Consider the following 16,221-nt stretch of genomic DNA (forward strand, 5'->3'; position numbering starts at 1 on the left):
TTAATTAATTTTAACACTAGGAAACTGGGAAACAGAATCTGGGACTGAAGAAGAGGGTCTGAGCTAAGAAAAAAGTCCTAAACAGAGGTCAGAGACACTAGGCAAAGGAAAAAGTGTGCCAGGAATTCAATAAACTTGGTGTGGAGCTAAAGCCTTTACAATTATGGGCTTTCCTACTGATAAGAGTAGATCACTGCAGGAAGGACACTCAGAGGACACCTGGTCTATGAGGCTATTGGGGAGGATGGAACTCCATCTACCACAAGTGAGATTTGGTATTGTAGAAATAGCAAAAAAAAAAAAAAAAAAAAAAAAAAAAAAAAAAAAAAAGTCTCCTTGTGATCCTTAAAAAAAGATTTGAGCCCTGTTTGAGGTTGATCTTTTATATGAATTAAAAGTAATTATATCTCAAAGAATCAGTGTAAAATGTATGTATTGTTTGGTTTCATGACCCTTTGTTATTACTTACCACTCTACCACTGCAGTTCCTAGGTACTTTAATTCAGTTGCCATCCTTCCCACTCTCTCTGAGCTCCATAATAGTGCTGATTTAACAAATACTCACTAAATAGACAAAACCCTACTTACCATTAATTATGAACTGAAATGAAGCATAAATGTGGAATAAATAAAGGATATAATGAGAAAATGTACAAAATGCTTCAAATGCACCAGTACCCATTATATATCACTCTAAAAATTAATCATTATATTAAAGTTATAGTGACAAAATGTTTTTTACTAAGCAGAAGTAAAATTTTTGTGCATTCTTTCTCTATCCCACCTCATATTTTGAATATATCTGCAAAGCTGGTTTAAATCTTGCTTAAAATTTTATGTTAAAAAATGTATGCACATCACATAAACATGGTAATGCTCAATTGTCCATTAAGGAAGACATTTCACATTTTCAACATGAATGCTTTTCTATTCTAAACATTTTTATTAAGCCATTTATTCAACCAGAGGCCTGCACAGTAAGCAATAGTGTAGTTGTTTTTCAACTAGTACTCTGTCAGGAACTTAGATAGAAATACCACATTGAGAAAAAAAGTCTTTAACAGAAATCTAAAAACAATCATTGGTGTTGGACTGTAAAATTAGTTTAGAGTTGGATTTTATGACTTTTTAAGGATACTACCTGTAAGTTCTTTTACTATTTTTACCATTTCTCTTAAATTTTCTTCTATTGATGGTTGTTTTAAATTACGTGATGCCAGAGATTGTATTTGTATCCTTTTTCTCCACTCGGAAATGCTTTTTATACTGCCTTGAATAGTACCATGTATTTATGTATTTTAAAGGTGTTTTAAGACATGCTTGGTAAAGATGTTATTAATTGCTTATGCATATTTCACTGATTGACATATACAATAAAATAGTAAATTATTAAACTTTTTAAACACCCAGCCACAAATATTGTTTCCTTGATATTGCATGACAACTTTGCATAGTGCTCTATTAAGTATTTAATATAAACAAGATATCTCTCTCTCCACCCACTTTTCCTCTCCGTCTTCTCTCCATTGCAACTTTTCTGGAAACTTCTTCCTAGTCCAGTAGTAGCTGGAAGAGAATTCCTCTTATTCCAAAAAAGTAATCTCCCTATTTCAAAGTACAAATAAATCAATATGTTTGCAGATCCCAGCTTCATATTGTATGGCGGTCTTTAAAAAAAAAATGTGGTTAAAAAAAAAAAAACATAACCTGAGATCTACCCTCTTAAGAATTTTTTAAGTGAATAGTACAATATTGTTAACGACAGATATAATGTTGTATAACAAATCTCCAGAACATTTACATCTTGCATGACTGAAACTTTATGCCCATTGCACCACAACTCTTTTTTTTTCTTTCTTTCTTTCTTTTTTTTTTTAATCATACTTTAAGTTCTAGGGTACATGTGCACAACGTGCAGGTTTGTTACACAGGTATACATGTGCCATGTTGGTTTGCTGCACCCATTAACTCATCATTTACATTAGGTATTTCTCCTAATGCTATAGCTCCCCCTGCTCCCCACCCCATGACAGGCCCCAGTGTGTGATGTGCCCCACCCTGTGTCCAAGTGTTCTCATTGTTCAATTCCCACCTATCAGTGAGAACATGCAGTGTTTGGTTTTCTGTCCTTGTGATTGTTTGCTCAGAATGATGGTTTCCAGCTTCATCCATGTCCCTGCAAAGAAGATGAACTCATCATTTTTTATGGCTGCATAGTATTCCATGGTGTATATGTGCCACATTTTCTTAATCCAATCTATCACAGATGGACATTTGGGTTGGTTCCAAGTCTTTGCTATTGTGAATAGTGCCACAATAAACATACATGTGCATGTGTCTTTATAGTAGCATGATTTATAATCCTTTGGGTATATACCCAGTAATGGGATGGCTGGGTCAAATGGTATTTCTAGTTCTAGATCCTTAAGGAATTGCCACACTGTCTTCCACAACGGTTGAACTAGTTTACACTCCCATCAACAGTGTAAAAGTGTTCCTATTTCTCCACATCCTCTCTAGCATCTGTTGTTTCCTGACTTTTTAATGATTGCCGTTCTAACTGGTGTGAGATGGTATCTCATTGTGGTTTTGATTTGCATTTCTCTGATGACCAGTGATGATGAGCATTTTTTCATGTGTCTGTTGGCTGCATAAATGTCTTCTTTTGAGAAGTGTCTGTTCATATCTTTCACCCACTTTTTGATGGGGTTGTTTGTTTTTTTCTTGTAAATTTGTTTGAGTTCTTTGTAGATTCTGGATATTAACCCTTTGTCAGATGGGTAGATTACAAAAATTTTCTCCCATCCTGTAGGTTGCCTGTTCACTCTGATGGGAGTTTCTTTTGCTGTGCAGAAGCTCTTTAGTTTAATTAGATCCCATTTGTCAATTTTGGCTTTTGTTGCCATTGCTTTTGGTGTTTTAGTCATGAGGTCCTTGCCCATGCCTATGTCCTGAATGGTATTGCCTAGGTTTTCTTCTAGGGTTTTTATGGTTTTAGGTCTAACGTTTAAGTCTTTAATCCATCTTGAATTAATTTTTGTATAAGGTGTAAGGGGGGAATCCAGTTTCAGCTTTCTACATATGGCTAGCCAGTTTTCCCAGCACCATTTATTAAATAGGGAATCCTTTCCCCATTTCTTGTTTTTGTCAGGTTTGTCAAAGATCAGATGGTTGCAGATGTGTGGTGTTATTTCTGAGGCTTCTGTTCTGTTCCACTGGTCTGTTTCTCTGTTTTGGTACCAGTACCATGCTGTTTTGGTTACTGTAGCCTTGTAGTATAGTTTGAAGTCAGGTAGTGTGATGCCTCCAGCTTTGTTCTTTTGGCTTAGGATTGTCTTGACAATGTGGGCTCTTTTTTGGTTCCATATGAACTTTAAAGTAGTATTTCCAATTCTGTGAAAAAAGTCATTGGTAGCTTGATGGAGATGGCTTTGAATCTATAAATTACCTTGGGCAGTATGGCCATTTTCATGATATTGATTCTTCCTATCCATGAGCATGGAATGTTCTTCCATTTCTTTGTGTCCTCTTTTATTTCATTGAGCGGTGGTTGGAGTTCTCCTTGAAGAGGTCCTTCACATCCCTTGTAAGTTGGATTCCTAGGTATTTTATTCTCTTTGAAGCAATTGTGAATGGGAGTTCACTCATGATTTGGCTCTCTGTTTGTCTGTTTTTGGTATATAGAAATGCTTGTGATTTTTGTACATTGATTTTGTATCCTGAGACTTTGCTGAAGTTGCTTATCAGCTTAAGGAGATTTTAGGCTGAGACAGTGGGGTTTTCTAAATATACAATCATGTCATCTGCAAACAGGGACAATTTGATTTCCTCTTTTCCTTATTGAATACCCTTTATTTCTTTCTCCTGCCTAATTGTTGTCCTGGCCAGAACTTCCAACACTATGTTGAATAGGAGTGGTGAGAGAGGGCATCCCTGTCTTGTGCCAGTTTTCAAAGGGAATGCTTCCAGTTTTTGCCCATTCAGTATGATATTGGCTGTGGGTTTCTCATAAATAGCTCTTATGATTTTGAGATACATTCTGTCAATATCTAGTTTATTGAGAGGTTTTAGGATGAAGGGCTGTTGAATTTTGTCAAAGGTCTTTTCTGCATGTATTGAGATAACCATGTGGTTTTTGTCTTTGGTTCTGTTTATATGCTGGATTACGTTTATTGATTTTCGTATGTTGAACCAGCCTTGCATCCCAGGATGAAGCCCACTTGATCATGGTGGATAAGCTTTTTGATGTGCAGCTGGATTCGGTTTGCCAGTATTTTATTGAGGATTTTTGCATCGATGTTCATCAGGGATATTGGTCTAAAATTCTCTTTTTTTGTTGTGTCTCTGCCAGGCTTTGGTATCAGGATGATGCTGGCGTCATAAAATGAGTTAGGGAGGATTCCCTCTGTTTCTATTGATTGGAATAGTTTCAGAAGGAATGGTACCAGCTCCTCCTTGTACCTCTGGTAGAATTCGGCTGTGAATCCATCTGATCCTGGACTTTTTTTGGTTGGTAAGCTATTAATTATTGCCTCAATTTCAGAGCCTGTTATTGGTCTATTCAGGGATTCAACTTCTTCCTGGTTTAGTCTTGGGAGGGTGTATGTGTTGAGGAATTTATCCATTTGTTTTAGATTTTCTAGTTTATTTGCATAGAGGTGTTTATAGTATTCTCTGATTATAGTTTGTATTTCTGTGGGATTGGTGCTGATATCCCCTTTATCATTTTTTATTGCATCTATTCAATTCTTCTCTCTTTTCTTCTTTATTAGTCTTGCTAGTGGTCTATCAGTTTTGTTGATCTTTTCAAAAACCATCTCTTGGATTCACTGATTTTTTTGAAGGGTATTTTGTGTCTTTATCTCCTTCAGTTGTGTTCTGATCTTAGTTATTTCTTGCCCTCTGCTAGCTTTTGAATTTGTTTACTCTCGCTTCTCTAGTTCTTTTAATTGTGATATTAGGGTGTCAATTTTAGATCTTTCCTGCTTTCTCTTGTGGGCATTTAGTGCTATAAATTTCCCTCTACACACTGCATTAAATGTGTCATAGAGATTCTGGTACACTGTGTCTTTGTTCTTATTGGTTTCAAAGAACATCTTTTTCTCTGCCTTCATTTTGTTATGTACCCAGTAGTCATTCAGGAGCAGGTTGTTCAGTTTCCATGTAGTTGTGTGGTTTTGAGTGAGTTTCTTAATCCTGTGTCCTAATTTGATTGCACTGTGGTCGGAGAGACAGTTTGTTGTGATTTCTGTTCTTTTACATTTGCTGAGGAGTGCTTTACTTCCAACTATGTGGTCAATTTTGGAATAAGTGTGATGTGGTGCTGAGAAGAATGTGTATTCTGTTGATTTGGGGTGGAGAGTTCTGTAGATGTCTATTAGGTCTGCTTGGTGCAGAGCTGAGTTTAAGTGCTGGATATCCTTGTTAACCTGCTGTCTCATTGATCTGTCTAATGTTGACAGGGGGGTGTTAAAATATCCCATTATTATTGTGTGGGAGTCTAAGTCTCTTTGTAAGTCTCTGAGGACTAGCTTTATGAATGTGGGTGCTCCTGTATTGGGCGCATATATATTTAGGATAGTTAGCTCTTCTTGTTGAATTGATCCCTTTACCATTATATAATGGCCTTCTTTGTCTCTTTTGATCTTTGTTGGTTTAAAGTCTGTTTTATCAGAGACTAGGATTGCAACTCCTCTTTTTTTTTTTGCTTTCCATTTGCTTGGTAGATCTTCCTCTGTCCCTTTATTTTAAGCCTATGTGTGTCTCTGCACGTGAGATGGGTTTCCTGAATACAGCACACTGATGGGTCTTGACTCTTTATCCAATTTGCCAGTCTGTGTCTTTTAATTGGAGCATTTAGCCCATTTACATTTAAGGTTATTATTGTTATGTGTGAATTTGATCCTGTCATTAAGATGTTAGGTGGTTATTTTGCCCATTAGTTGATGCAGTTTCTTCCTACCATCGATGGTCTTTACAATTTGGCATGTTTTTGCAGTGGCTGGTACTGGTTGTTCCTTTCCATGCTTAGTGCTTCCTTCAGGAGCTCTTGTAAGGCAGGCCTGGTGGTGACAAAATCCCTCAGCATTTGCTTGTCTGTAAAGGATTTTATTTGTCCTTCACTTATGAAGCTTAGTTCGGCTGGATATGAAATTCTGGGTTGAAAATTCTTTTCTTTAAGACTTTTGAATATTGGCCCCCTCTCTCTTCTGTCTTGTAGGATTTCTGCTGAAAGATCCACTGTCAGTCTGATGGGCTTCCCTTTGTGGGTAACCCAACCTTTCTCTCTGGCTGCCCTTAGCCTTTTTTCCTTCATTTCAACCTTGGTGAATCTGACAATTATGTGTCTTGGGGTTGCTCTTCTCAAGGAGTATCTTTGTGGTGTTCTCTGTGTTTCCTGAATTTGAATGTTGGCCTGACTTGCTAGTTTGGGGAAGTTCTCCTGGATAATATCCTTCAGAGTGTTTTCCAACTTGGTTCCATTCTCCCTGTCACTTTCAGGTACCCCAAACAAACGTAGATTTGGTCTTTTCACATATTCCCATATTTCTTGGAGGCTTTGTTCATTTCTTTTTACTCTTTTTTCTCTAAACTTCTCCTCTCGCTTTATTTCATTGATTTGATCTTCAATCACTGATACCCTTTCTTCCCCTTGATCGAATCATGTGTTGAAGCTTGTGCACGCGTCACGTAGTTCTTGTGCCATGGTTTTCAGCTCCATCAGGTCATTTAAGGTCTTCTCTACACTGTTTATTCTAGTCAGCCATTTGTCTAATCTTTTTTCTAGGTTTTTAGCTTCCTTGCAATGGGTTCAAACATCTTCCTTTAGCTCGGAGAAGTTGGTTATTACCGACCTTCTGAAGCCTACTTCTGTCAGCTCGTCAAAGTCATTCTCCATCCAGTTTTGTTCCGTTGCTGTCTAGGAGCTGCAATTCCTTGCAGGAGAAGAAGCGCTCTGGTTTTTAGAATTTGCAGCTTTTCTGCTCTGATTTCTTCTCATCTTTGTGGTTTTATCTACCTTTGGTCTTTGAAATGGGTGACCTCCAGATGGGGTTTTGGTGTGGATATCCTTTTTGTTGATGTTGATGCTATTCCTTTCTTTTTGTTAGTTTTCCTTCTAACAGTCAGGTCCCTCAGATGCAGGTCTGTTGGTGTTTGCTGGAGGTCCACTGCACACCCTGTTTGCCTGGGTATCACCAGCGGAGACTGCAGAACAGCCAATATTGCTGCCTGATCCTTCGTCTGGAAGCTTTGTCCTGGAGGGTCACCCGCCTGTATTAGGTGTCAGTTGGCCCCTACTCGGAGCTGTCTCCCAGTTAGGCTACACGGGGGTCAGGGACCCACTTGAGGAGGCAGTCTGTCTGTTCTCAGAGTTCAAACCTCCGTGCTGGGAGAACCACTGCTCTCTTCAGAGCTGTCAGACAGGGATGTTTAAGTCTGTAGAAGTTTCTGCTGCCTTTTGTTCAGCTATGCCCTGCCCCCCGAGGTGGGGGTCTACAGAGGCAGTGGGCCTTGCCGAGCTGCAGTGGGCTCTGCCCAGTTTGAGCTTCCCCAGCCGCTCTGTTTACCTACTCAAGCCTCAGCAATGGTGGATGCCTCTCCCCCTGCCAGGCTGCTGCCTCGCAGGTCGATCTGTGCTAGCAGTGAGCAAGGCTCCATGGACGTGGGACCCACCGAGCCAGGCGCGGGATATAATCTTCTCGTGTGCTGTTTGCTAAGACCATTGGGAAAGCACAGTATTTGGGCCAGAGTGTCCCGTTTTTTTAGGTATAGTCTGTCACAGCTTCCCTTGGCTAGGAATTGGAAATCCCCCTACCCCTTGCACTTCCCAGGTGAGGCGATGTCCCGCCCTGCTTCGTCTCGCCCTCCGTGGGCTGCACCCACTGCCCAAGCAGTCCCAATGAGATGAACCAGGTACCTCAGTTAGAAATGCAGAAATCACTGTCCTCTGTGTCGATCATGCTGGGAGCTGCAGACCGGAGCTGTTCCTATTCGGCCATCTTGGAGAGCTCTCTGTTTTTTTCTTTTTTTTGAGACAGAGTCTCTCTGTCGCCAGGCTGGAGTGCAGTGGCACTATCTGGGTTCACTGCTTCCTCCTCCTCCCACGTTCAAGCAATTCTCCTGCCTCAGCCTCCCAAGTAGCTGGGACTACAGGTGCACGCTGCCACATCCGGCTATTTTTTTTTGTTGTATTTTAGTGGAGACAGGGTTTCACCACGTTGCCCAGGCTGGTCTTGGAACTCCTGAGCTCAGGCAATGCGCCCACCTTGGCCTCCAGTAGTGCTAGGATTACAGGCGTGAGCCACCGCGCCTGGCCTGAACAACAACTCTTGTATTTCTCTCTCACCCCATCACCTGTCGACAACCACTTTGAGTTTTTTTTGATGAGTTTGACTACTTGAGGTATAAATGGACTCATGCAGTATTTGTCCTTAAGTGACTAGCTTATTTTAATTACCATAAAGTTAGCTATGTTCACTCATGCTTTAGCATATGATAGAGCTTCCTTATTTTTTATGACTCAATAATATTCCACCGTATGTATGTATGTATGTTTTCTTTATCCACTCATCCATCTATGGACATTTAGCTTGTTTTCTCCTCTTGGCTACAATGAATAATGCTGCAATGAACATGGGAGTGCAGATATCATTTGGAGATACTGACATAAATTCTTTTGGATCAATACCTAGAAGTGGGTATAAGGATAAAAGGGTCACCATCTTGCTGTTGTCATTCCCTTATTTGTCTGTCTTTTGCATCAGTATATGAAGTAATAGAAAATTAATTGAAGAAGGAGAGAGATGCATATGAAAAGATGCTCAACATCATTGATCATCAGAGAAATACATATTAAAATTACAATGAGGTATCATCTCACCCAAGTTAAAATGGCTTTTGTCTAAAAGACAGGCAATAACAAATGCTGGTGATGATATGGAGAAAAGGGAACCCTCATGCACTGTTGGTGGGAATGTAAATCAATACAACCACTATGGAAAGCAGTTTGGATGTTCCTCCAAAAATTTAAAATTGAGCTACCATATGATCCAGCAGTCCCACTGCTGGGTATATACCCAAAAGAAAGGAAATCAGTATATTGAAGGGATATGTGCACTCCTATGTTTGTTGAAGCACTATTTACAATAGTGAAGATTTGGAAGCAACATAAGTGTTCATGAACAGATGAATGCATAAAGAAAATGTGGTACATATACACAATGGAGTACTATTCAGCCATAAAAAGAATGAAATCCTGTCATTTGCAACAACATGGCAAGAACTGGAGGACATTATGTTAAGTGAAATAAGCCAGGCACAGATAGACAAACTTCCCATGTTCTCACTTATTTGTGGGAGCTAAAAAATCAAAGCATTTGGACTCAAGGATATGGAGAATAGAATGATGATTATCAGTGGCTGGGAAGCGTAGTGATGGGGAAGTGGGGATGGTTAATGTGTACAAAAAAATAGAATGAATAAGACCTAGTATTTGCTAGCACAATAGGGTGGCTATAGTAAAAAATAATTTAATTGTACATTTTAAAATAACTAAACTAACTAAACGTGTATAATTGGATTGTTTGTAACACAAAAGATAAATGCTTGAGGGGATAGCTAACCCATTTACCATGATGTGATTATTATGCACTGCACGCCCGTATCACCATATCTCATGTAGCTCATAAATATATACACCTACTATGTACCCACAGAAATTAAAAATTGAAAAATAGGCACACTTCCAGGATCAAAAAAAGAAGGAAAAAGATGGCTTAATTATTGTGAGTTTCCAAATCATCAGATAAATATGCCATATTTAAATGCAAACAATGTCATATTAACTTTTTATATATTGGAGGCTATTTTCTTTCGGGCTGCTATAACAAAGTTATGTTAATATGTCACCCACCATAGACTGGGTGGCATATTTAACAAAAGAAATTTATTTCTCACGGTTCTGGAGGCTGGAAGTCTGAGATCAGAGTGCCAAGGTGGTCGGGTTCTGGTGGTCTGGGTTGCAGACTGCTGACTTCTCTTTATATTTTCACATGGTAGAAGGAGGGCGAGAGAACTCTCTGGGGTCCCTAATAGGGGCGCTAATTCTATTCATGAGGTCTCTCCACCCTTGTGACCTCATTACCTCTCAAAGTTCCCCCCAATCACATTGGGGGTTAGGATTTCATCATAAGGATTTGGGGGCACACAGGCATTTAGCATTTTTGTAACAAAGGAAAACTATATACTGTATTCCCCTCTGAAAATTAGTGAAGTGTGTTAGCTGTTGAAACTTCTAAGAAGTCTTTGGTTTAACTTTCTTTCTTTTTTTTTTTTTTGCTTTTTTTGAGACGGAGTCTCGCTCTGTCGCCCAGGCTGGAGTGCAGTGGCGCGATCTCGGCTCACTGCAAGCTCCGCCTCGGTTCACGCCATTCTCCTGCCTCAGCCTCCCGAGTAGCTGGGACGGCAGGTGCCCGCCAAAACGCCCGGCTAAATTTTTTGTATTTTTAGTAGAGACGGGGTTTCACCGTGTTGGCCGGGATGGTCACGATCTCCTGACCTTGTGATCAGCCCACCTCGGCCTCCCAAAGTGTTGGGATTACAGGTGTGAGCCGCGGTGCCTGGTCAGTTTAACTTTCTTTAAACCCAGCATTTCTTAAATCTCTAGGATGATGCAAAAGTAATTGTGGTTTTTGCCATTAATGGCAAAACCATTACCCAGCAACCTCTTTTGGGGTTACCCAGGAACCTCTTTTGGGGTTGGGGGAATAGTATCCACTAAGTATCCACTTGTCTTCTGAGGCAAGGCACTGCTTTTCTACTGCCTACAGTTAGGTTAGTGCTGAATGGTATATTTAAGTATAAAGTAACCCCAGGTCACATATGGCTACTTAAATTTAATTAAAATTGATTAAAATTATTCAGATCATCAGTCACATTAGCCACATTTGAAGTGCTCAGTAGCTGCAAGTGGCTAGCGACTATTTTTATTGGACATATCCATAAGAAAGACACATATTGGGATCCGTTTTGTCACCTAACATCCCTACCCCCAAAGAATTTACTGATTTGTTATTTGTTTTTGTGATTTTACATTAACTGAATAATGTTACAAAACTAGTCTTAAAAAAAATCTGTTGCTGCTTTCAATATAACAATGTTGTATAGCAATGGTCCCCCAACTTTTTGGCACCAGTGGCCGATTTTGTGGAAGACAATTTTACCACGGGACGGGCGGGGTGCGGGGATGTGGGGATCGTTACAGGATGTAATTGTTCCACCTCAGATCATCAGGCATTAGTTAGATTCTCATAAGGAGTGCACAACCTAGATACTTTGCATGTGCAGTTCACAATAGGATTTATGCTCCTATGAGAATCTAATGCTGGTCTGACAGGAGGTGGAGCTCAGAGAGTAATGCTCATTGGCCCGCTGCTCACCTCCTGCTGTGAGGTATGGTTCCTAACAAGCCACAGTAGTGGTCTGTTGCCCAAGGGTTGGGGACCCTTGTTGTAGAGGACAGTGTGCACTGTTATTGTGTTTTTTGTATGAAAACTCCTATGAGCCCTTTTATTTGGTTCTAAAAGTTAGAAAATCCTTTGCTTCTTTGAAAAGTAACTGATTATATTTTTATTTCCTTTTATTTGGGCACCAGAAAACAGTTAAATCTTTGTCCTAACATTCTTTTTAATCTCATTCTATTCTGATTTATATTTTTTTCTATTCCTGTTTTCTCTCGATATTTGTTTTCATAGTTTTGCAAAATACTTCAAATTCCATAAGAGCAAATCAGGTATAACTGAACATTAGTGAATTACAGTCTTTTTTCACAATTCATCATAAGTGGTCAACATTCTTGGCTGTCCATTTTTGCAGGGCATTTGATAGTTGAGCCATTTTTCCATTACAAGTGTTTCTAGTATCAATGGTTAAGTTTTCTGTATTGTCTGTAAGCTGTTTCTTGCTCAGGTATCTTATAATCAATAGTACATGATACAGAATTCCTGAGAAGTAGGAATAGAAAATCTATTTGTAGTCTGTGTTTCTCCATAAGGCTTTAGAAGTAGACGAGACTAAGCAGCTTTGTTTCTAATTCAGTATTTGGAACTTATTGTATATTCATTCATTTACTCTTTCATTTATTCATTCATTCAGTAAATATTTGTTGAATGCCTGCTATGCACTGAGCACTTTTCTGGGTGCTGAAGATGTAGCAAGAAGACAAGAAGACAAAAAAAATTCCCTCCCTCAAGGAACTGACATTTTACTGAGATTAAGCTCAAATTCCAATTCATTAAACTCTTAATTTTTGAGATCATTAAAAGAAAAGATTGTCTCTTATTGGCATCTCCTCTCCACGTACACCGAAAGTTATTTCATTTCCATGGCCTTATTTGCTGTGGCAGTAAGAGAGATAAATAGGCCAAATCGAACTGGGAGGCAGGAGGAAGAACTCTTGTCCAACTTTCATTGTATTCAAGAATTCAAGAATATGAGTGAGAAAAGGCTGATAAGAAATATAGTTTGTTGATCCTAGGCTGAGTGCAATGGCTCACACCTGTAATCTCAGCAGTTTGGGAGGCCGAGGCAGGCGGATCATTTGAGGCCAGGAGTTCGAGACCAGCCTGGCCAATGTGGCGAAATCCCATCTCTACTGAAAATACAGAAATTATTTGGGCATGGCGGTGCACGCCTGTAGTCCCAGCTACTTGGGGGACCGAGGTGGGGGGATTGCTTGAGCTAGGGAGGCAGAGGTTGTAGTGAGCCAAGACTGTGCCACTGTACTCCAGCCTGGGTGACAGAGCGAGACTCTGTCTCAAAAAGAGAAAAGAAAAAAAGAAATACAGTTTGTTGATCCTAAAATATTTGGAGAGCAGATTTATGGTCAAAATAAGACATAGTCTCTGAGACCTACTCTGTTCTTAGAAGTAATCAGGAATATTTATAGTTGATTGGTTTTCAAAACAAAAATGCAAAGCAGTTAAATATATATTTGCTAAACTTATTGAACACTTAGTATATGACAGTGTTCTGAATGCTGAAGATAGATCAATGAACAAAACAACAAAACTCCCTGCCTTGGAGCTTGCAGTAAAGAGTAGAAACCATGAGAGCAAGTAATTGACTAAGGAAGCAAGACAGTGAGTGCTGTGGAGAGAAAGTGCTATAAAAAGAATTAAAATGGAAAGATGTGATAGTGATAGACTAACCCCTTTATAGCGATACTTAGAAAAGGCTTTCCTGATGTAGTGATTTGTAACCTGAAACCTGAATGATATGAAGAAACCAGCCACATGAAGATCAGGAGGAAGACCTTTCTAGGCTGAGGGAACAGTTAAACTAAAAGCCTTTAATATTGGAAAGAACTTGGTCTGGTGGCAAAACAATAAGAAAGCCAGTTTGGGTAGGAAGTAGTATGAGCGCCAAGTGATAGGAGAATCGATCACAGAGTGAGGGGGAGGCCAGATCAAGTAGAGCTGTTTACTTATGTTAACTGAACTAAAACTACTATTTGTCTTTAAAGTAAAATGCTTTCTGAGTAGCCAGTCCTGAGTACTTTCCAGCTGCTCATAAGCCAAAAGTCAATCACAATAGTTTAGGCTTCACTTAAACACAGGCAATCTAATGTTCCATTCTTTCATTTCATTTCATTATTTGTTTTATATTCTCCTTCACTCTTTTTTTTCTCCTGGTGAAGCAGCAGAACCCATTGACTTTTTGCTGTACTTTGGATTTCAGTCTCTGACTTCCTTGCACATGTGCACACAGAAGGAAAGAGCTGTGAAAGAGCTTCAGCCAAGGGGTTGGGAAGCAGGAGTCCAGAACTTTCTAGTTTGCTAGATGGATATGCAGTCAGTGATGATCACACCCATGTCTCACTGGTGATTGATTGAATCAACCATTTAACATTTTTGAGGTTATTTAAAAAGTTGGAAATAAAGTGAAATCTCTAAAGAATATACTAATATTTATAATTTTGATAATGAATTTTTTTTGTTCTTTTAAGTTACTTTATGGTTGAAATGCAGCTTTTCAGTCTTAAATCTCATATCAGTCACCTTCCCATAATTTTAAGACTGCAGTATTTATTTGGTTCTATTATATAACTTTTATGGCCTTTGAAAGTAAGAGAGTGAATGTAACTGATAGTTTTCTGTCACTTATACTGGTACTGGATCTGACTTTTAGCTCTTTTAAAAGTTATTTTCACTTTGGAAACACTTTAAAGATGCATTGAACTCTTTTTCTACAGCTCTATAATCCATTTTTATACACAAGACATAGTAGCATAAGGCTCCCACATACAAGGCTCACAACAGGCAAAATTCCATATGTCTGCTTCAGATTTGCCTGCTGAATACATTGTTGTGGCTGCTTCTAAAACATTAAAGACATACCTGCCAGGTTGTGGATTTTTTTTTTTGTCTTGACTTTTTGAAAGTTTCTGCACTATTTTTTCTTAGATTACATATAGAATATAAAGTACAGTTAAGTCCTATGAAAGATGAGAATCTTATAGACCTTCTGGCCACAAGAAACCATCAAATTTACATTAAACTCTACTTCTCTGTATTATCAATTTCTCTCAATAAAAATATGAAAATAATTATTATGGCATGATACAGTAAAACACAGGAATAGTGGATTTAGTTCCCTGAATACTGTATTCCTTTCTTCCTTCCCTTCCTAGTACCCACTGGCTTGCTGTTGGATTGTGCATGAAATTAAAAGAAACTTGAATACATTGTGCCCTGGAATTGTTTGAATGAAAGTGATTGCATTAATTCAAAGGTTTGGATGCCTTTAAGCATACGTTGTAAAATTTTTAACTGGAGAGATAGGTGAATTTTAAAAATTAGAGACATTTCAAATCAGTAAAATGTTACTAGAGCAGTAGACAAAGTGGGGGGAAAAGATAAATTGATTCCCTATATCATACCATTTACCAGAATAAGCTTCAGAACAATGAGTTATAAATATAAAACCATACACAAACTAGGCCTGAATATAGGTAATATTTACTTGAAATAAGAGCAGCTTTGTGAAAATAAAAACAAAAGTAGAAGATAAAAGAATATATTTTTGACTGTACACAAATGAAGAACTTTTATAAATCAAGAACATAGTATATACTATTAAAGGGCAAATGCCGATTTTATAACAATTTTAGACAATTTTGATAATGGATTAATAACTTTATGAGTATTCTTATATAGCAACATGAAACATGTGTATCCTAATAGAAATATGAACAAAGGTATTGAACATAGTATTCATAAAATATAAGTTACATATATGATGTGCATGGTGTATATGGTATGTATGAGTGGGCTTGTATGAATGTGGATGGCTGTGCATATATTCAGCCTAATTAGCAATAGAAGAAATGACTATTAAAAGAATACTGCAGTTTAATAGACAAAAAGGATCTAAAATAATGATCTGATATGTGAGGGTGCAGAGAAGCATGCACTCTCATTTCATGATGGTTGGTTTGTAGAATAGTACAACCTTTCTGGAGGGCAGTTTAGCAGAATGAAACATAAGCAATGAAAATATTTATATTCATGCCTAGCAATTCCATTTCTAGAAAATTGTCCTAATGAAGCAGATGTATAAAAAATATATCTGTAGTATTCACTTCAGAATTATTTCTAGTTGTGAAAAATTAGAGCATAAATGCCCAATAATAAAGGAATTTTAAAATAATTGTATGATAATTTAAATAATCTATATAATTATATGGGAGATGTTTATGATATAGTAAATGATAAAGCAGAATGTAAAAGATATGTACAGCCAATAGTATGACCCCAATTTTCTTTAAGAATATATTGCACATGGGAAAAATGATTAGACCAAGTGATAAAATATATTAACAGTACGTCTCTCTATGTGAGAAATTATGGTGATTTTTAAATTTTCTTCTCTTGCATTAACTCTGTTTTCCAAATTTTTAACAATGAACTTGTATTAGTTGTGAAATGAGGCAAAAGGAAAAAATGATAAAGGAGAAAGGGTTCAATTATATTATCTTTATTCTCTCAGTGTTGCAATTAATGATAGAATTAATAAGCCCTATTTTTGCCTTGTTTACCAACTTTGAGTTTAGCAACAGGAACTATTTGTATTCCATTATGTTTATAAAAGATGGAAATATATTTTCTGTTTTTTCTTGGTGGAAGGGGCAAAGTAAGCCACAGCAATTCTTTTAGTTAGCAT

The 16,221-nt window shown here is 38.0% G+C and overlaps 1 protein-coding gene across 2 annotated transcripts in view, besides 2 other annotated features; it reads left to right on the top strand.

The window, feature by feature from the left end:
- The window catches only part of DIAPH2 (diaphanous related formin 2), a 920,156-nt gene that overhangs the window by 122,812 nt on the left and 781,123 nt on the right, over window positions 1-16,221 (top strand). The window lies entirely within an intron of this gene.
- Window positions 7,530-8,030: an enhancer, noted in NCBI's record as "H3K27ac hESC enhancer chrX:96070182-96070682 (GRCh37/hg19 assembly coordinates)". NCBI's record gives its function as "activates a minimal SCP1, AML or CMV promoter by ChIP-STARR-seq in naive H9 embryonic stem cells {active_cell/tissue: H9 hESC(naive)}" and the evidence as "EXISTENCE:reporter gene assay evidence [ECO:0000049][PMID:30033119]".
- Window positions 8,031-8,531: an enhancer, noted in NCBI's record as "H3K27ac hESC enhancer chrX:96070683-96071183 (GRCh37/hg19 assembly coordinates)". NCBI's record gives its function as "activates a minimal SCP1, AML or CMV promoter by ChIP-STARR-seq in naive H9 embryonic stem cells {active_cell/tissue: H9 hESC(naive)}" and the evidence as "EXISTENCE:reporter gene assay evidence [ECO:0000049][PMID:30033119]".

The sequence above is a fragment of the Homo sapiens genome, chromosome X (assembly GCF_000001405.40).
Source record: "Homo sapiens chromosome X, GRCh38.p14 Primary Assembly".
Classification (NCBI taxonomy): domain Eukaryota; kingdom Metazoa; phylum Chordata; class Mammalia; order Primates; family Hominidae; genus Homo; species Homo sapiens.